Genomic DNA, 22,875 nt, shown 5'->3' with positions numbered 1-22,875 from the left:
ATCCCCAACAAATGTCTTCCCATTGGCTTACTACGGATATGACCAATTGGCCTGTATTTAGACTAAACGAGATATTCTGTTGATAGTGAACACAGTTTCTATCACCCAAAGCATGTTTCATCCTTTAAAGCATCAATTCTGTATTTCACAAACAGAATATTTTGATTTATTTTCCAAACATATGTTTTCAACTAAATGTTGTTTGTGAATTATGTAAACAGCATGCTGAAATTGAGATTCCACATAAGTTACCTTTTTTTATCCAAGATGTATGCTCAAGTTTTCATAGCTTTGAGGGCTAACACCATGTCAGCTTAACAATTTGTTTGTTTTAAAAGTTGTATATATGGGTATGTATGTATATGTGTGTGTGTGTATATATATATATATATATATACACAAACACACACATATGTATATATGTATTCGTATAAATATGTATATATATACACACACACACATATATACCATAGGTATCTGTATACACACACACACACACGTAGGGTTCAACTGGTCCTTGATAATACTATTTGACTCCTTCACTTAGTAGAATGGAATAACTAAAACAAAAAAGTGTCACTGACTTACTAAAGATACAAACTTTATAAGCTATAGAATCCATACTAGAACCCAACTGCATTGATGCTCAGAGAAGCATTTTGTTCCACATCCCCTTTTAGTAATAAGCAAAATGTTTACAATATTAAGAGATAATATGCAATGTGCTATTAGAACTATTTTCCCACTATCGCTCAGGATCCCAGCGCCCTATTTCAACAAGTGAAGTTAAACCCATATAAGTATACTGACCAGCTCCTCACTTCTTATTTGCCTTTGCACATTCCTCTTGTCTGTCTCTACTTGATAGAGCAATACAGTCATGTTCTGCTTAGCAATGCTTTTGTCAACAACAGACCAAGTACATGACAGTGGTCCCATGAGATTATAATGGAGCTGAAGTTTCCTGTCACCCAGTGACATCACAGCCATTGTAGCACAACACATTATTCATATGTTTGTGGCGATGCTGGTGTAAACAAACCTATGCACTGCCAGTTTTATAAAAGTAGAGCACATAAAATTATGTACAGTACATAATTGATAGTGATAATAAACGACTATGTTACTAGTTTATGTATTAACTATGCTATACTTTTAATTATTACTTTAGAGTGTACTCTTTCCACCTATAAACAAAAAGTTAACTGTAATATAGCCTCTGGCAGGTCGTTCAGGAGGTATTCCAGATGAAGGCATTGTTATCATAGATGATGGCAGCTCTATGCCTTTTATTCCCCCTGAAGAATTTCCAGTGGGGACAAGATGTGGAGGTGGAAGACAGTGATACTGATGATCCTGACCCTGTGTAGACCTAGGCTAATATGTGTGTTTGTGTTTTAGTTTTTAACAAAAAATATTTTTAAAGTATAAAGATTATTTTTAATACAGAAAAGCTCGTAAGATAAGGGTATAAAGAAATAAAATATTTTTGTACAGCTGTACAATAGGTCTGTGTTTTAAGCTGTTATTACAGAAGAGCCAAAAAATTTTTAAAAAGTTTATAAAGTAGAAAAGTTACAGTAATCTAAGGTTAATTTATTATTGAGAAAAAACATTTTAAAATAAATTTAGTGTAGCCAAAGTTTACAGTGCGTATAAAGTCTACAGTTGTGCACAGTAATGTCCTAGGCCTTCACATTCACTCATCACTCGCTCACAGACTCACCCAGGGCAGCTTCTGTCCTGTAAGCTCCATTCATGGTAAGTGCCCTACACAGGTGTACCATTTTTTATCTTTTAGATGATATTTTACTGTACATTTTCTATGCTTAGATATGTTTAGATACAAAAATACTTGCCATTGTGTTACAGTTGCCTACAGTATTCAGCATGGTAACATGATGTGTAGGCGTGTAGCCTAGGAGAAATAGGCTATACCATGTAGCCTAGGTTTGTAGTAGGCTATACCACCTAAGTTTGTGTAAGTACACTCTGTGGTGTGCATACAATGAAAAATCGCTTGACAACACATTTCTCAGAATGTATTCCTATCATCAAGTGATACATGAGTGTACTTACACATTTATCCAAGTTTACAAAACAGGAGAAGATTATATGTTGTATTTGCCCCCTTAAAATAGGCTTCAAATAGCATAATTATCATGTTCACATGCAGCTTTTTCCTCTGCGTATGATTTTTAAAGATTGTATCTGACCTTGAGTAAAGCAATATTCATGACCTCAATTCATTACTCCATATCAGTGATATTTATCAATCAGTGGATTCTAATTTAGCATAATTTGCTACCAGAAATAAAAATATAAAATATTTAAAATGCAAGCTGGTCACTCATTTTTATTTACTTACATTTAACTGAACGTTTGTATATGGAATTTCATAGTCAGGTCATATGCCTTTAAATAGACAAGCAAAACAGAGGAATGGAACATTCTGTTGACAGGTAAATGTGAATCAATCTGGTTTCATTCAAAGGAAAATAATCAAGCTCTTTTCAAATAACCTAAAATGCAAAATGATTGCAGGGTGGAGGGGAGGGGACCTTATCAGCTTCTCTTCTCAGAGAAATGATTGCGATTTTCTAGCTGGAGGAACATACGCTGCAGCTTATCTCGTGACTTCTCTGCAGTCTCTGATATTTATTAACAGTTGATTTTCTGTAGTTGCTCTTCTTTCCCTTCTTCCCTCCTCCAGTGTAAATTAGTTTTCCCAAATCTGTATCTAGCCTTCATTTTCTTATCAGTCATGGAAAAAGGATGATTATTTCATTATTGGTTCTGAAGAGTCTTTCATATTAAGTGGTGCAGCTCTGGTTTCAGGCAGGCATTTAATGGACTCTCTATTTGTTTTATTGTCTCATCATCTTAATCAAAGCCCTCTGAGACAGAGTCTTTTGTAGTAACAAACAAGAATAAAGGGAAATTATGAATTGTTGCTTCCACAGAAAATGCAGTATTCATTAGAAATTTCTGTTGGGATTAAAACCAGGCTGACTTCAAACATGTAAAAACAATTATAATCACCTATGAGAAACCTTTTAATCACTAGGATACCTGTTTTCTGAGTCTCTCATTAGCCTACTACCAAAGCAGGTCCCTCGCTTGGGGCTCATGCTTCACTGTATTGTCACAAGATAGCTAGTGGAAGATTTTCAGCTCTCAAGTTTATTTTTTTTGTGTGAGAACTGCACTCCTGCTTTCTCCCAACACTTTATAATTTTTTTCTTACAGCTTTTTTTTTATCTTTGCTATATAAAATTTAACATTAACTCTCTGATTTACTGAACAGACACTGTCCTAGATTCCTGATATTGAACAACTATGGGAAAAGTGTAGGTGTCATGCTCTCATTTTTAGATTCAGATGACTCAAAATAGCCTGAAAGTCCCAGTCTCACACTGTCCCTGCACTCCTTTGATCATATTTTGATAAATTTTTCAGAAGCAGTACAGGAATTGGGTTAGCTATTTAAGTAGAAGTCAGTTTATATTGGGGCAACATGAAAATGGTCTAATAAAAATCCATGTTTCTCCTTAATGGGCAAATCAAATTTTCTGTTGTTTGCAAAAATCAAAGAGACACAAAATACCCCCAACATTCCAGTATCCTAAATACTGATTACTATTAATAGTATATGTTTAATTATATCTTAATATTTTATTTGCATTTAGAGATGCTTGCTAATACCTATATAAATTTTATTAATTAATTGATGCAAGAAGCTAAAGTATAAACTTGATTCTTAAATGGCTTTTGGTTCACATAGTGCACCATATTTCAATGGTGCAATAAATAAAGAGTTACAGCATTGCTTTCAACTTCAGATATGGTCATCATCAGGCATCTCTGACATAATGTTAAATGTGTTTGTCATATTGGGACAGTATACTTAGATAGGGAAATACTCATAAAATGTATTAGTTAACTATTGCTGCATTACAAATTATCCCCAATATAGCAACTTAAATCAGACTTTTCTTAGCTCACAGTTTCTGTAGGTCACAAATGGAGGTAGCTGCATTAGCGGGGTGCCTCTTGCTCCAGACCTCTCACGAGACTGCAATCAGGGTATCAGCCAGGACTGGGGTCATTTCAAGGACCAAATGAAAGAAGATCCACACTCAAGTTCAGCAACATGGCTTTTGGTAAGGCTCAGAAGACCCCTTCCTATCTCATTCACAGGATTGTTGACAAGCCTTCAGTAGTCTCTGTCGTAAGCGAAAGAAATTAACCTTTTGCCACATGGGCCCTTCTATAGGGCTAGTCATCATGTGGTAACTGGCTTTTTCCAGACCAAAGGCTCCAAGAGACAGAATGTGACATAGCAAGCAAGAAAGAAGCCCCAGTCTTTTTATAATCTAATCGGCAACTTGCCATTACTTTTGCAGCATTATTTTTGTTAGAGACAAGCCACTGGGTCCAGCCTACATTCAAGGGGAGGAGGTTACACAAGTGTATGAATGCCAGGAGATGAGAATCTTCAAGATCCATTTTTGAAGCTATATGTGACAGTTCAACATCTGAACTCTATGGTTCAGCCTTCTCTCACTGCAGAATAGGCTCACTCTCTCCAACAGTCCCCCAAAGTCTCATCCCATTAATTAGTCAGGATGCACTGGGTTATGAGACAGTAGTAACTCTAAAATCTTTGTGACTTAGAATAACATAGTTCTATTTCTCAATCACACCACTTATCTATCATGGGTTGATATCATAGTACATTTTATGCTGCTGTAACAAAATACCTGAGACTGGATAATTTGTAAAGAGCAGAAATCTACTGGCTCACAGTTCTCAGGGCTAGGATGTTTAATGTCAAGGTATTAGTGTCCTCCTAGGGCTTTTGTGCTATGTCATCACATGGTGAAATTCAGAAGATCAGGAGAGAGAGGAAAGGGGCTAACTCGTTGTATTAGTCCATTTTCACACTGCTGATAAAGACATACCTGAGAATGGCTGGGGGGGCCTCAGAATCATGGTGGGAGGTGAAAGGCACTTCTTACATGGCAGCTGCAAGAGAAAATGCGGAAGAAGCAAAACAGAAACCCCTGATAAACCCACTGGATCTCGTGAGACTTATTCACTATCACAAGAATAGCATGGGAAATACTGGCCCCATGATTCACTTACCTCCCCCTGGGTCCCTCCCACGACATGTGGGAATTCTGGGAGATACAATTCAAATTGAGATTTGGGTGGGGACACAGTCAAACCATATCACTCATCCTTTTATCAAGAGCTCACTCCTGCAATAACTAACCAACTCCCACAATTAAAGCATTAATCTACCAATGAGAACAGAGCCCTCATGACCTAATCACCTCTTAAAGGTCTGACTTTCCTAACACTGTTACAATAGGGATTAAGTTTCCAACACATGAACTTTGGAGGACACATTCAAACCATAGCCATTGGCTACATATTCTTCTCATGCTGTCCTCACTCAGAAAGTCTCCAACATCACTGTGCCAGGAGCGAGGAAGGGGCAAATTATCACTGGCTATTAAAGTCTTCTGCATGGAAGTGACATGTGATACTTCTGCTCAAATTACACAGCCACACTAATTTCAAAGGCACAAGGAAGTTCACTTTGACCATATTCCTGGAAAGATGAGAAATGGAAATATCAATGAACAGCCCAGAAAACAACCTAATGGGTAAAGTAATATATTTCACATCCACCTGAGTGCATAGCAAAATAATAAAGAGCCAGATTTTGATTTGTTTATTCATTTCAAAAATATTTACCATTTATCACTGTATGCTAGGCTTATGCAAAATGCTGAGGACAAAAACAGAAAAAAATAAAAGCAGTTCCTGTCTTCTGCTTTTTCAGTATAGTGGGCAAAGAGATAACCATATAGACAGTTATAAAATAGAAATCATTATAAAGTGTTAAGACATAATAGAAGCATCTCATATGGATTTAAGGAGAGAAGGGATCAGAGAGGACGTTTTGTAGTAGATAAACCCTGATGGGTTCTGAAGGATGTGTAGGAATAGACCAGGTAAGAAAAGTGAATTAATAAAATTTCAATGTTTATTTAATAAAATGAATTTATGATGAGAGTCTTCCGGATTAAAAGGCCTAGATTCTTCTATATCTGCAGTTAACTACTACGTTAGCCCCATCAAATCACTGAGCAACTGTGCACCTCAACTTCCTCATCTGTGAAATGAGGTTTAATTAGATGTTGTTCAAGATCTCTTTCAACTATAAAATTCCATGATTTTTCCTGACTCTAGAGGATATTTTTTCAAAAGCACCTTCTATGTGATAATCATAAAATAATTACCTTATAAAGCAATCACTTACTAAAACAGCTCAGTGAACACTTATGGAAAATTCCTCATACCTGAAAATAATGGAATTGTATTCCCATCTCTTCTGATACATACCATGTTCAAAATGGATTACAAAAAGAAGAATAAGATGTAATTTAGAATAGACTGATATTAAGTAGTTCTTCATGGCTAGCTTCTACTCTTGTGGTCCTTGTCATCTTTAATTCACCACCCTAGGAATTTCTGATGATTTTCCTGTGTAAAGAGACTCTTTCCACTTTATGTGTTGGTTTTGTTTATTTGCTTGTAAAAAGATTCCAAGACATGCATGCACACAACACACACACACACACACACACACACACACACACAATTTATTTTGCACTAAAATTCTGTGACCAGGTTGACGTCCACTCTCATAATTCCACAGAATACCATGTCTCTCATTAGATCCTGCAATCCTTCAAGGATCTCCCTACTTCCAGGGAAAATCCTTAAAAGGGTTGTTAGAGTCTTTACCACTCATGGCACAACCATCATTCTTCTACCAGTCAACTGAATCCTAGGTCAGGGGTCTTCCCTTTTCTAGTCCAAGCCTTCACTCCCTCTCTCCTCTTTCACTAACCAAGCTTAGACTTTCAAAGCAAATAACTTCTACCAACTATTGGCAAAGATGTTATACAACAGAAACACTCATATATTGCAGGAAAAGTATAATTGCTACAACCACTTTGGAAAACAGTTTGGCATTATCTATTGAAATTTAACATATACGTAACCAGATGATCCAGCAATTCCACTCCTCATTATCTACAACATGCATACCAAGAAATATCTACAAGGATGTTTATTGCGGCATTAATTGTAATTGCTTTAAACTGGAAATTACCCAATGTCCATCAGCAATAGAATAGTTACAAAAATATGGCACTGTATATTCAGATATTTGACAAATTACAACATGAATGTAGCCAACAACCTTAATGTTAAGGAAAGAAGGCAGACACAAAAATAACATGCAATACTTGATTACATTTACATAACGTTCAAGGCAACCCTAAACCATAGGTTAGAAGTCAAGATGGTGTTTGTTTACCTTTGGTGAGGAGGAAAAAGTGAGTTTGAGAGTAAGCATGAAGTATGTATTACTGGAAATGTGCTATATCTTGACGTGGGTGGTGTTTACCCTGATGTTTATTTTGTATGATTCATTATTTATGTACTTTTCTATAAGTGCATTATATATTGATTTTTTTAATTTAAATTATCTCTTAATTTAGTTGAGACAAAAGGACTCAGGATTCCAAGAAGTCCTGCTTGTTCTTATAATGGTGTCACATGGAAACACACATACATACACAAACACACACACAACATAACACAACACCACAAAAAAAAAATCCTCTTATTCTTTAGTCATGAGAGGTACAATTTATTTGCCATTTTATATATTGTTCACTGCAATGTGGGTTGCAGTAGTATTTGTTGTTGTTGTTATTAACACAGCTCCAAATCAGTCTATTTCACAAGAAACCTATAAGGGATGACATTAGAACAAGGTTGAGAGAGAGAGAGAGGGAAAGAGAGGGAAGCAGGGAGGGAGGGAGGAAAGACAAGCTATGCCATTTAAGAAATCTAACATGTTTGCCAAGCAAAGCTTAAAATCACACTCTCTTATTCATCTGTCTTGGCTTTGTATTGTACAAACTGCACATAAAAAAGGGACTTGACAATTTCATAAGACAGGTACCTTTAGGTATTTCAAAACTTATTTTTTCCTGGAATTTTACTTACCTGGTGTTTAAGGTAATGCAAAGGACTATCCTTATACTTGAATCTGAAAATCTGAGTACAATGACTAATGAGAAGTATGTGCAAACAATTCTAAATGAAAGAGAATGAAAGCTTCCTAATGAAATCTCTTTAATATGTAATTTTAAGCTACTTTAAAAAGTCACAGTTGCTTGCACTAATGAGAATCTGTTTTAAAATTACATGTTATTTTGATAATCAGAATTTTGAGGGATGATTTAGAATAGGGTTAACAGCAGAAATAAAATTGATAGGAAGTAAACTTTTTTCTAATTTAGAGTGAAAATCATTGCAATATATTATGTAAAATAAATTTCAGTGTTTCTGTTGAAATACCTTTTTCAGGTGTGAAATGTTTTAATTATTATATTTTATATAATACTCAAGAGTCATATTAAAATTTGGAAATTTCAGTTTATAACAGAAGGGATACCATATAGTAAATATAAAAAAATTATTCTAAGCAAATCTAAATATTTTTATGTGTAAGAATATAAACATCATCTAGATAATTCCAGTTAGAAAATAGAAGATTATGCTCTTTTAATGCAAAACACACTAAATGAAAGGCTATTTCTGAAATGTTTGTTATTTCTGTGAAGGTGGAAAACTGGGTTATGACCAAAGTGAATTGGAGCCTTCAAAACTTCCCATGCATACACACATATGTATTAGGATACGTGTGTTTGTGTGTGTGTGTGTGAGAGAGAGAGAGAGAGAGAGAGAGAGAGAGAGAGGGAGAGACAGAGAGAGAGAGAGAGACAGAGTCTTGTTTTGTTGTCCAGGTTGGAGTGCGGTGGTACCATTACAGCTCACTACACCCTCGACCTCTGGAGCTCAATCGATCTTCCCACCTTAGCCTCCTGACTAGCTGGGACTACAAGTGCATGCCACAATGCCCAGCTAGCTTTCTGTATTTTTTGTAGAAATGGGATCTTATGATGTTGCCCAGGCTTCATGAACATATACAAATACTAGAAACTGTATCTGGTCAGATTGTGCCCCACCATGGACAGATCTTCGCTTTAAAGTTATGAACTTCAGCTCTTACAGTTTCCTCAGCCATAACAACCAGTCCAAATTTTGGCAGACAGCTGGGAAATGAAAGAACCCTTATTGTTATTTCCTCCTTGTTCATTTCTTTCTCTCCCCCAGATTGAGCATGTTCCATGCACTAGGGTCTGCCTTCTTGAGCCAAATTACTTGCTGAAAATCCATTTTCTTCTGTTCATGAGAATTTATCATCTATTTTTTCTCAATCTCCAGAAAATAAAATGGGACTTCTTAATAATTTGCCATTTTTAATCACAGTGGAGAAAACTTAGTTGACCTAGACATTATGCATGGCTTAGAAAGGATTACATTTTTTTCTATTTCTCACTGATGTTAAATAGTTTTTGTTGTCTCCTCTACCAGATCGACAGATAACTAGACTGATATTTGTACTCTGAAAAGAAAGGCACTTGTGTGGTGGTCTGAGAGGCAAAAAAAAAAAGAAAAAAAATTATCTAAAATGTCTATGAAAACCTGTAAGAGGTGTCTTTAACTAGTAAATCCAACGCATGTTTGCCTGACACTAGAGAAATGCTTTATTAATATATAGACATTAATGTGAGTGAACTACAAATTTATTAAAGCAACCATAAAATCTAGCCTGAAGGTGCCATTCAGCAATCATCTAAATGAGTAATGGAATAGAGCCTGAGGATTTTCTACTTCAGATCAAAAGGCAGTTGCATGTCTAGCAGCAAAAGTTTCCTCTTCATTCCTCAGAAAGGAAGCCAGGAGATCTGATCATCTCCTCTAAAGTCCGTTGCTTAAGTAGGGCTGAAAGTAAAGGAGGTAAATCTCGGAAAGTTGACTTCTGCCAAGCAAGACTAAACTTAACCAGCAAGTGGACAATAGTAAAGAGAGACAGATGGGTGAGACTTTTGGAGAGACCCTTAGGAAGTGGCCCCAAACAGGTGGTTGGTTGCCTAAAAGGAATCATTGAATAGAGTGTGTTTGACTCTAGGGGAAAGGGAGAGAAGTGTCAGTAATGAATACATGGAGGCATGCTGACTGAGATTTGATATTGCTTGTCAGATGTCTCTATTTTTGTCTAGACTTCAAAAGCTGTTTCATTGTAATATGTGAAGAGCAGAAGGTCTTGGATTCTGTGATTGGTTATTGTTTTGAAAAGGAAAGAAAATTACCTTTCATTTTCTCTCCATTGGCATTAAATCCAGTAGAGGGTCAAAGGACATTCCAAATCACCACGACTACAGCAAGGAGCTTCCAAGCCCATTACTTCTGACTAAGGTTGTGCAATGCTCTCAGCGTCTTACCTAAAACCCACAAATAGAGGCCTATAAGAACAGTTTTGCAAGCATATTTTGATGTGTTCCACTTGCTGTGAGCTCTTAAACAAAATCAAATTTTACCTTTAGGTATTTACCAAAGGATATTTTGGAACCCGTGCTAAATGAAGCCTTATGTTCCCTATTCCTGAAGGAATAACTATTTAGAATAATAGTTCCTATGAAATTTTCATGATACATCTTATCACATAAGATTTAAGTTATTTTAAAAAACAGAGAGAGGGATGGTAAGTATATGCTATTTTCTGTGTCAAGCGCTCAGCTAAAACCTCAAACAAGACAAAACTAGTTGCTGTATCCACGGGGTACCATAGTTTACAATCTAATGTGGGAAATCTAATAAACCAAACAGGCTAAGTGCTATAATAAACACCCACCCTTTTAATGGCTTAAAGAAGAGAAATTTAATTCTCATTTACATAAAACGCAGTGCCAATAGATGTCCTAGTCAGGGTGAGGTGACGAATGCTCATCTATGTAACACTGTACTGTGAATAGACCTTATTAGTGGAAGTGAGGGGTGATCCTGAAAGCTGTGGCTGGAGAATCATGTTCTTTTTGTCTTTGGGACCTTTCCTCCTTTAGGTCCTTAGGGATTTAACCTATAGGTAAGAAACATAGAATGAGGATCATATGCAAGATGTTCTTAAGACTGTGTTCCATGGTGAGGAATGTAGTCACATCTAACTACAAAATGTAGTCTGGCTATGTAACAGAAGGAAAAGGGAAATGTTTTGGTGAACAGTTAGCCATTTTCTCCGACACAGGGTGATGTGATAACGTGTGATAGGGAAAGATGCAGAGCTTGTTGGAGCATCTAGGAGATTCATCTAACTAAAACTTAGAGGGAGCAGGGTGTCAAAAAGTCTCTCCCCATGAGATGACAACTTTGCTGGGAATTGAAGGAGGAATAAGAGTTTAATATGTTAAAAAGAGTTGAGAAAAAAATGTGCTAAACAAAATAAAGCAATTGTGAAAACAATACAAAAATGAATCATTAAGGTAGACTTCAAATCTTGTACAAATTATTCTGTTGAGAAATTAAGACATTGTGCCTTTTTATATGTTTCAGAGGTGTGGATCTTTTTAAATTAATTATGAAATTCTTAAACATAAATGTAATGCTTATAAGATGGAATTTTCCATGCTAATTCGTCCCAGAACGAGTAGGATAGACAAGGATTTGCTTTAGCTTGGCTGCCAAGGTTTAAGTGCTCCCCTTAACAACTTAGGGGCATTATTTATTTAAAGGCCAAAGGATGGATATTCTGAAATGTATTATGTAATTGTAGGATGCAACAAACCAAGATGTTTACTGGACTTAATGAAACTGATGTTGTAAGAAGGCAATTTAGCCATTTTATGGTGGACATGTTAGTTTCAATTCAACATTTTAAAGAATAGTCAATATTCTGCTTTATAGCCTGTGAACAATAGTGATTTCCATGTTGGTTTTTGGCATTTCACTACTTCAATTAAAGATTGTATTTCATAAAATTGATACTAGTTTCTCATTAACTAGCTTACTTTTTCTCATCTCTGCCTCAATCCCCACTAAAAAATGGGGTGACAGCATTTATCTTAAAGACAATGTAGGGATTAAAATATTTTTTAAATAATTGTTACTTTCTATCTTTATAATTAGGTTTTGAACTTCTTGAGGCCAGGGACTGTGTCTGAAAACACCGACGGTGGCTAACTCAAGGTGAGTCCACAACCACATTTTAACCCTTTCCCTTCTCTGGGTCCTAATACTTAATACAGTAACTGATGTATAGTTCAACTCAACGAATATTGGTTAGGATGGATGGATGGATAAAATACTCAAACATTTTACTCTGTTTACCTAATATTGAGTTATTCTTTACTATAGATTTTCCTTTATAATGTATTAATGACAATAGAATAACTAAGAAATCTGTCAATGAGAGATTTATTTTTCAGTTCTGAATTATATATGATGTTAGGCCTGAACGTGGGGGGAAATCTAACAATCGGTTAAATTTCTGAATTGAAGCAGCAGATGCTTATAGATTTAAATGTTGATTGAATTTAGCTGCTGCTGCTATGAAATTATTAGCCCTCGGTGGTGGTCTCGCCTACATACTTTATTTTGGCTCTTTTGGAAGCTACAAAGCTATTTATTGTTAATGAGGGAATAAAGTGAGAAAACAGATTAGTGAGTAGATTAGCGAATTTTTTAAAGTCTAATCTTTGTTAAACAATAACAGGTTATGATTTAATGCATTCAGTTCTCACTACTTTGTGACAAAATTTTTGCTATTAACACAGCTTTGTTTCATTACATATCCCTTTTCTAATATAAACATTTCATCTACCATAATAATACTTTTTGTTTAAAATCCTCTGCCAAGGACATTTTTTCCTCACCCATTGCAGTTTAATAGTGTGTTTCTAATCCTACAAAGATAATTCTTTGAAATAAACAATTCCCATATTCTTTCTCTGAGATATTTGATCTGTTGGCTTGTTATTCAGAGACTATTATCTCGTAATAAACTTGTGATGAATAAGATAAACTTAAATGTTTTAAAATCAATGTTTCTAAATACAAACTTTCTAAATAAAGTCTGTGAGGTTTAAAAGTTCGTTAGCATGCTCAAATCTCTTATCTGCTAAAATTTTGCATCCTCAGTTTAAAGAAAAGAATATCACCGTCCCTATCCCCTGTTGATCTTATTTTGGGGTTGATGTATCTTATGACTCTAAGAAAATGGAAATATCTGCATATGGAGAAGGTACACAAAGGTCCTTCAGAAATCACAGTACCACTGAAGTCAAATAAGATGATAACTCAACAAACAAATAAGAGATAACGAAGATTGTAGTAAATTTATTTCAGGCTTTCAGCCTGTTTCCATGGGGGTTCATCATTGTTCAATTTTATATGTTAAGATTCAGCTTACCTTCCCCAAAAAGCTTTCTTGGATACCCCCAGTCAAATTGATGTGTTATTCTTTTGAATTCCTCTGTGTCTTCATTCTTGACTCTCTTAAAATACTACTCATTCTGCTTTATGTTTCAGCAATTTGTATAGAATCAGTTTCCATTTTCCAAGCACATTATCTTCCAGTGTTCATTTAAAAGCCACTTGTTTGGGAGTCCAAAGTACTTATTTCTGTAGAACTAATCATACAAGTGATGTTCCTATTTTCTTTTTAGTTCTATTTCTGTCTGATCTAGTGCTAATAGAAATATTTCAAATATGCCTCCATTAATGACATTGTTTCTTCAAGACAGACCAATTCTATTATAAGGAGCAAATTTCATAGATTCTAGACTTACATTTGCCTGGATTGTCTTCTACTTATTAGCCATTTGATATTAAGTAAACTGTGCAAATTTGTGCCTGAGATTTCTCATTTGTTAAATAAAGATAATAATTATATTTCTGGTGGCTGTAGTGAAGATTAAATGAGTTCATATATGAAAGCTGCTTTGGTGAATACTATTTGACACAGTAGGAGGTACATAAATTTGTTTGTAGATGTTATTATTGTTATTTTTATTAAAATTTAGAGCATCAGGAACCTGTCTGCTCACACACAGGCAGGTTTGAAAATGGAAACAGGCAGCATATTTTAGCAGTTCACCTTCTCAAAACAGGATAGTTGCTTGAATCATAGCACACAGTCAGAAAAAAACATAACTACCTACCTAGAGAAAAGGCTTTTTTTCTAACTGTATTTTCAAAGTGAATAAAAACGAAAACAAGATACCATAATCAGCTGCACCTCATTACAAAAATGAAATTAAGGTAAAAATAACAATGATTATTATTGAAATCATTTGTTGAGCCCTTAGTATGTGCCAAGCAGAAAAGGAATGGCTTTCTATGTTATCTTCATATGATCCCATTACAAAAGAAACTGATGGCCAAGGAGGCAAAGGTCTCTCACAGCTAAAGAGTTAGAGCAAGAACTCCAACCTAAACCTTTCTGACTTTCAAATTCTTTGGTATTTTTACTCTACCGAAGACGGAACTCTGAGCCAAGTCCAAAAGTGCTTTACAAATTAATATTTACATATTCCAATGTCTTTTTTATGATTTTTGCCACTTAAGAAATCTACCTGGCTCTTTTCAGTTCCAACTTCTCCATATTGTCTACAAAAATTTTTAAGACATGATGTGTACAAAAATATTGTAAGACATGTTGTCAGACACTTGGGTGAAGCTCAATACACTTTATTTAGGGTATTAGATTTCATCAGTATTTCCTAAATTGTCTTTTCCTCCAATTATTTAAGATCACCAGCTAGTGAGCTAGTTGTTTCAGGGCATTGCCTGAAAGAAAGAAGAAATTCTTTCCTTTTGTAGTATGTGAGTGTTATACATCAGTCCTGAATGTAGCCATCTAACACAAAATATATATTTTTTAATTTTATTACTATTATACTTTAAGTTTTAGAGTACATGTGCACAACGTGCAGGTTTGTTACATATGTATACATGTGCCATGTTGGTGTGCTGCACCCATTAACTCATCATTTAGCATTAGGTATATCTCCTAATGCTATCCCTCCGCCCTCCCCCCACCCCACAACAGGCCCCACTGTGTGATGTTCCCCTTCCTGTGTCCATGTGTTCTCATTGTTCAGTTCCCACCTACGAGTGAGAATATGCGGTATTTGGTTTTTTGTCCTTGCGATAGTTTGCTGAGAATGATGGTTTCCAGTTTCATCCATGTCCCTGCAAAAGACATGAACTCATCATTTTTTGTGGCTGCATAGTATTCCATGGTGTATACGTGCCACATTTTCTTAATCCAGTCTATCATTGTTGGACATTTGGGTTGGTTCCAAGTCTTTGCTATTGTGAATAGTGCCGCAATAAACATACGTGTGCATGTGTCTTCATAGCAGCATGATTTTTAATCCTTTGGGTATATATCCAGTAATGGGATGGCTGGGTCATCCAGTGGCGCAATCGGTACTTATGTAACACAAAATACTTAACTTTTCACTCTTGCCAATAAAAAAGAGCTTTCTTGTTTAATGTATCCTTCATCCCTTAAATATTTTAACATTTATTTTTGATATGTATATTATGTGCAAAACATATTGTACATATATGACATTTACTCCTCACAGAAAACCTGAGGTCTGTACTTTATCTCCATGTTAGGATGAGGGACCTGAGAACTAGAGAAATGAAATATCTTGCTACATCACACAAGAATTCAAACCCAGGTGAAACTTCAGAGACCTCATTCATTATTTTATTTCAAGGTGGTTCCTGATTGACAGAATCAAAACCATCTAACTAGATGGCAAAAGAATCAGGTTTCCATTATCCTGCCAGTTCCTCCTTAAGTGTCTATGACTGTAAACTTTTTAAAAGGAGGGTGTATGTCTTTTTGCTCATCTTCACATTTCCCACAATGTCTAAACATTGAAACCATAGATGCTTAATCAATGGCTGATTGAGAATGTTAGAGGGTATTTAAAATACTGTTGATGCTTAATATCCTAGTCTTCAGCTAGTGGTTCGTAGCATTTTGCCTTGGGGACATTGACCAAGTTTAGTCAATTTGGTTAAGTGAGCTTTCTTTGTCATGTAATCATCAGTGTCACTTTTCATAATTGGATCAAGCTAATGATAGCCAGAAACTGTTAAAATGTCTGCATTTGGAAATATGTGGGGTGAACATAACAATACTGTGGGTTCTATAGCCAAATGCTTTGCTTATTTTGGAAAGGGCAATTTAATTTGTTATAAATAACATTTGATTAAATGCTATGCAGTATCATGTTTTAATATAAGAACCAGTGCCAATGCTTATAAATATTTTCATGTAAGTAGGTCTAGTCTGGAATTTTATTAAATCTTTGAGTTTCAACAATTAAGAAAATCAGAAATACTAAGGTTTCTTTAGTTGATTTTAAGAATTGTTTGTGAAGTTCTGAGTAGCACTAGTTTGGAGACATAAACCAGATCTTCTAACTAAGGCATACCATTAAGTGAGCCTGTTTTTAGTTACTTTTAGTAAAGAAGTAATTAGCATTACACGTAGCAGGAACATATTCAGGTCTCTAAAAGAGATCTTTGATTACAGTATTAATTTGACAGTCCCAGGTAAAGAACAAGTTAATCTAATTAAGGGAAGGTTAATTGTGTATGTAGACTGTATGGCCAGAAGAAGAAAGCTCAGCAGGATGTTCCCAGAGCATTTCTGCTTGAGAGAGTCACATTTGTTCATTCAAGGGTAGTAAAAAACCTTTATACTATATATACAGCATTTAAAGAAGGACTTATTGAAATGATTTACTAGCAATTCAATGTAGAAACAACAATATGTAAAATGTAATGACTTGTATGGAGGTTGACTAAATGCTTTTCAGCTCTAAAAGCCTATAGTTGTAATGACTCTTCATAACTAGACTTAGAGTTTGTCAATATGTCTACACTTACATGGTCAGAGAATATTAGAACTAAAATAGGCTGTAAAGACCCCAGGCCATGATTTGTACATGACAAATTTAAACCCAGAGAAGGCAAATGTCCTGCCCAAGATAATAAAAGATATTTGGTAGTATATCTGTGATTCAAATCATTTTTATTCTGTGTTTAAAACCACATCACCCTTTGATAGAAAGAAGGAAAGAAAAAAGGAAAGAAGGAAGGAGGAAGTGAGGAAAAAGAGAGAGAAAAGAAAAGAAAGAAAGGAAGAAAGAGAAGGGGAGGAGAGGAGGAAAGAAAAAGGCAGGCAGGCAGGAAAACCAAGGCAATTAAGGCAGAAAGACTAAGGGAGGTCACAGTTCAATCTCTTTGTAGGCTACTTTCCTGAGACACACACACACACAGTCAGCCACACTCTGATTAAACTAAGCATAAACCTCACTTTCATTATTGAGTAGCTGTATTTACAAGAAAAGTCTTCCTTATATTGATACAAAAGCTACCTGCCTTTTTTATCCTTAGTCTTCTATTTCCTATGCAAAATATCTGTAGTTCCTTCACCATTCCTATTATGAGATGGGTTCCAGATATTTCATCATCTGATCTCTCTTTCCCAGCACATCGATAAAATATTTCATGTTTCAAATTGATGCCTACAATTAAATACCATGTATCAAATAGTGTCTGGATACCATCATAGGCATGTGCATCTCTTCATTTGGCCACTATACTTTTAGCTTTTAAAATTAACTCAGTCTTTTATATGTTTTAAGATGCCTTTATAAAACAACTAAAGTACAAAGCCATTTTTATAGGGACTACTATAAATAGCGGCCTCTTAAGCTGATTTTTAAATTGATTTGTTTACATCCATCATTTTCAAGTCAAGATTGATAGGATTAAGCATTAACAATTTGCTTACCGGAATTTTTTTTGCTCACCATAATTATTTTTAAAAGATCATCAGTTTGGATTGTTTGAATTAATCAAGCATTAGACATAATCATTTTAAAATTAAGTTTAATTTGAGTTCATAATGACAAAAAACAAATTTTAAGATAGTTATGCTCTAATATATTTTCTAATTATGCAATATATTAATGAGTATAAAGTATAAATTTTTCACACTAGTTTTAGTCAGTACTTATCAGTTCACTTCTAAAAATAGAAGCTAAAAAACAATTAGGGTCGTGATATGGTTAGGTTTTATATCCCCACCCAAATCTCATCTGGAATTGCAATCCCCATAATCCCCATAATCCCCACATGTCAAGGGAGAGGCCAGGTGGAGGTAATTGAATCATGGGGGCAGTTTCCCCCATGCTGTTTTCTTTTCAGAGTGAGTTCTCATGAGATCTGATGGTTTTATAAGGGGCTGTTTTCCCTTCACTAGGCACTTCTCCTTCCTGCTGCCTTGGGAAGAAAGCACCTTGCTTCCCCTTCACCTTCCACCATGATTGTAAGTTTCCTGAGACCTCCCCAACCATGCTAAACTGTGAGTCAATTAAACCTCTTTTCTTTATAAATTACCCAGTCTTGGGCAGTTCTTTATAGCAGTATGAAAATGAATTAATACAAGTGGGCATTAGGATATACAGACAGAAAAAACTACTAAGATAGATAGATAGATACTCATAGGACATATTTTGACCATCTAACCATCTAGAACTGAATTCCATTAATGTCTTTATCTGTTTTGTGCTGCTATAACACAATACCCCCGCATGAGTAATTTATAAAGAATGGAAGTTTATTTGACTCATGGTTCTGGAGACTGGGAAATCTAAGATCATGGCACCAGCACCTGGCAAGGGCCTCATCCCATGGCAGAAGGGAAGAAGGTGGAAGTGATTTCATGAGACTGAAAGAGTAAATGGGGACAGAACTTATTCTTTCATCAGGAACCCATGCCCATGATAATTAAACCACTTCTACTATAACAGCATGAATTCATTCATGAGGGCAGAGGCCTCATGGCTTACTCACCTCTTTAAGGCCCCAACTCCCAACACCATTACATTAGCAATTAGGTTTCAACATGAGTTTTAATGGAGACATTGAAATCATAGCAATTAACATGGGTCTATTTTTAAATATCTCTCATCTTAGTTTAGTAATCAAGTTGGAAATTACCTAATAAATGGACAAAAAGGAAGAAAAGCACCTAAGAAAAGAAGATTAGGAGAAAGTGAATGGTTTTTCAGCCTGCATAGAACTATATAGATAGAGACTGACTTCTAACTCCTCCTGAGAGTGACCTTAATGGTCAAATCATCAATGATTATGTTCATGAAAAGTTAGATACCTCTTTCTAGAAATAAATGACCAAATAAATAAGCTGAATTAATTCAATCACATTCAATTATAGGTGGCAGAGTGTAGAACCAGAACAATTAGACCAGCAAGCTGACAACCTTCTTACATATCAAGCCCTTAAGTTTATCTGCCTCATGCTCTTCAACTATTTTTCTACTTATAGGCTGTGGAAAGATGAAGGATGAAATATAAGAGTAGCAATGTGAGATTGCTGAATTATTAAATTTTGGTGCTTGGTAGCTGCACATTTGTTATTCTGAGGGAAGGAGTTGCAGACTCAGCTATAGAAGATTACCTAGAAGTTGAGTTCAAGAGTGATATATAAAAGACTTTGTGCTTCTTTCTTTCTTTTTTCAGGCCTACAGATTTGGGGCATTAAGTTATACCCATTGCATATGGCTCCGCATTTATAATATGAGTTTTTGCTAGTCGATGACCCATTTTCCAAATACTCAATGATGTGATCCTGGAGGTACCTAGCATGAGCTGTGCTGACCATGGGGAGAGGTACTTGGGCCGGTAGAAATATGGAGTAATACAATCGGATCACACAAAGAAGAGTCTTCCTCAAAACAAATAGTATATTTTTGAGTCCTAAGCTTATAAGAATTGTTAAAACTCTTTTTTTTTTTTTTTTTTTTTTTTTTTTGAGACAGAGTCTCACTCTGTTGCCCAAGCTGGAGTGCAGCAGCGCAATCTCGGCTCACTGTAACCTCCATCTCCCAGGTTCAAGCGATTCTCCTGCCTCAGCCTCCTGAGTAGCTGGGATTACAGGCACCCACCATCATGCTCAGCTAATTTTTTTGTATTTTTAGTAGAGACGGGGTTTTACTGTGTTTGCCAGACTGGTCTCGAACTCCTGACCTCGTGATCCACCTGCCTTGGCCTCCCAAAGTGCTGGGATTACAAGCGTGAGCCACCGTGCCCAGCCAAGAATTATTAAAACTATCTTTTGTACGATTGACAAACATGCCCTGTATGATCTTATATAATTTATTAACAAAGATTTTAGTGGTTAATTGTTCTTGTGATGAACAGGGTAACATGAAAGACAACGTTTTAGAAAAATCTTGTCTTAGTTCACTTTGGCTGCTATAAGAAATTACCTTAGACTGGGTGGCATATAAACAGCAATTTATTTTTTATAGTTCTGGAGGCTGAAAGTCTAAGACCAAAGTGCTGGCAAATTTGGTGTCTGGTGAGGGATCATTTCCTGGTTCATAGATGGGGTCTTCTGGCTATGTCATATAGTGGAAAGGGGAAATCAGTTTTCTGGGTACTCTTTTATAATGATATTAATCCCATTCCTGAGGGCTTCATCCCATGACCTAATCACCTTTCAATGGCCCCACTTCATAATTCCATCACACTGGTGATCAGGCTTCAGATTATGAATTTTGGGTGAGCTAGCAACATTCAGTCCAAAGCAAATCTCACGGTCTTAAAAAAAAGAAAATCATTAGCACATTAAATGGTTCCAAATTTATAAAAATAATAACAATTTTTAAAATTACTTCTAAATCTGATCCTAAATTTTTCTAGGCAGAATTACATTTTTCAATCACTTTTTGAAATATTAGAAATCACTATAGTTATTAAATAAGATTATGAAATCTCTTATGTAATATCCTTTGTTGGCAACAGTTGTTTACAATTTACTTAGGAGAACATATTACACAATTTAAAACCACAGTAATGCTGAGATAGCATTTATGTATATCTACTATCTTCACCTCAATCACAAGGATTATGCTCCTGAAAACCCTTAAGGCAGATAAATGCACACATTTGGAATAACATAACTTATAAGGTTATATTTGAGCCAATAGGAGTATGTATAAATGATTTACCTTGATTAAAATAAAAGTATGTAAGCATAGTAAATAAAAGCATAGTTGTGATGATTTCTGTCTCTTAAATGGGTAATTGTGGATATGTTCAAAGTCCCTTTTTTCATTCATCTATTTATTGAATATTTATTAATCAGTCACTATTGTAGATGATGGAGAGACAAAGATACAAAAAATGGTACCTGCCCTCAAGGAGTTCATGATCTGTTACATGGAGACAATAGGAAAGCAAATAAGTATTCTATATAACGATTTTTTTTCCTGTTGGTAATGTTTTATTTGGGGGGGCTGTATGGTATAAACAAATATATTTCTGTTTTATAGTTCAAACTATTTTTTCATGCAATATACTTCTCATAGTATTTTTTAAAGATACTTAACTCCCTCATTATCATGGAGGTTTAATTGCCTAGAAAATATATGTCTATGGAATCTCTCATTCTCTGAGGCATTTGCAATTCTTTTTAAGGTGAAATTGTGCATAGGCTAACATAAGAGCATGCCGGTAGGAGCCAAAGTGGGCCAGACACTGCAGATATTGGGATACAGTGTTGAACAAGAACACATTAGAGTAGGGGAGGCCAATGGTAAAGAGAAACCGGCAAAGTATCGGGTATATTAGATAGTGACGAGCAGAGGTGAGATTTAAAATAGAGTCATGCTTTGTGTAACAATGGTCCATGGTCAACCATGGACTGCATATACAGCAGTGGTCCTGTAAGAGCATACTAGCATATTTTTACTTTACCTTTTCTATGTTTAGATATGTCTAGATACACACATGCCATTGTATTACAATGGTGTACAGTATTCAACACAGCAGCATGCTGTACAGGTTTGTTGCCTAGGAGTAATAAGCTATACCATATAGCCTAGGTGGGTAGTAGGCTATACCATATAGCTACACTGGTAGGCTATAATTAGTAAGTTTTTGTAAGGACACTCTATGATGTTTGCACAATGATGTAATCAGCTAACAACACATTTATCAGAATGTATCCCCAGTGTTAAGTGACCCATGACCCAACCAGTACAAATGGATACCAACCCATCCGAATAGACACCCAGCTACACAGAATGGAAGTTCATTTTACTTGCTGAATACCAGACTTGAAATCAGCACTATTAGGACAAGATAAAGTAGGGAAATAAAATTAAAGTATTGAGTAAGGAGAATATTCAAATTTTGAACTGAGTAGGTGACTTTTGAGTCAAACTCTGAAGAAAGTAAGGAGTGAGTCATGTAGATATTAGGGGGAAAATATTCTAGATAAGGAAAGAGCAGGTGCAAAGACCCTAAGGAGGGAGCTTACCTAAAGCAAGGAACAGAAGGGCTCACGTGTCTGGAGTGAAAGTCTGAGGAGAGTCAGGAGGAAAAGATGACTGGGAAATAAACGAAGGCCATGTTAGCTGCTGGTAAGAACTTTGGCTTTCATTCTGAGTGAGGTGATCTCTCATTGAACATTCTGAACAGAAGATGATCTTTCACTGAATATTTTGGACACGATCGAATCTGTATTTTAAGAGAATCATTTAGGCTTGAGTTAGAACTGAATAAATGGGGCAAAAACAGTGCCAGGTGCAGGATAAAGGCTATTGGAATAATGCAGGCAAGTACTGGATAAGATGATGGCTTTGGGAGTCAGAGAAATGGTTAAATTCTAGATAGGCATTGCTTAGAGCTACCTGGATGTGCAAATCAACCAGATGGGAGGTATAGAGGAGAGGGGCCAAGAATGACACAGACTAGAAAAACCAAGTGCCATCTATATGCCAAACCCTTTGCCAGTGCCTAGGGAACATACAGAAGAAT

At 35.6% G+C, this 22,875-nt stretch overlaps 1 protein-coding gene across 38 annotated transcripts in view; it reads left to right on the top strand.

The window, feature by feature from the left end:
- PTPRD (protein tyrosine phosphatase receptor type D) overlaps positions 1 to 22,875 on the top strand; it is a 2,298,757-nt gene that overhangs the window by 1,417,519 nt on the left and 858,363 nt on the right. For all 38 annotated transcript variants that reach the window (NM_002839.4, XM_017014961.3, XM_006716827.5 and 35 more), the window contains one exon: positions 12,121 to 12,180. The gene's annotated coding sequence lies outside the window, so the exon portion shown is untranslated. The remainder of the gene's footprint in view (positions 1 to 12,120; positions 12,181 to 22,875) is intronic.

This window comes from Homo sapiens, chromosome 9, assembly GCF_000001405.40.
Source record: "Homo sapiens chromosome 9, GRCh38.p14 Primary Assembly".
Classification (NCBI taxonomy): domain Eukaryota; kingdom Metazoa; phylum Chordata; class Mammalia; order Primates; family Hominidae; genus Homo; species Homo sapiens.
The sequence above is the reverse complement of the archived record's forward strand: the minus strand, read 5'-3'. Positions and strand labels throughout refer to the sequence as shown.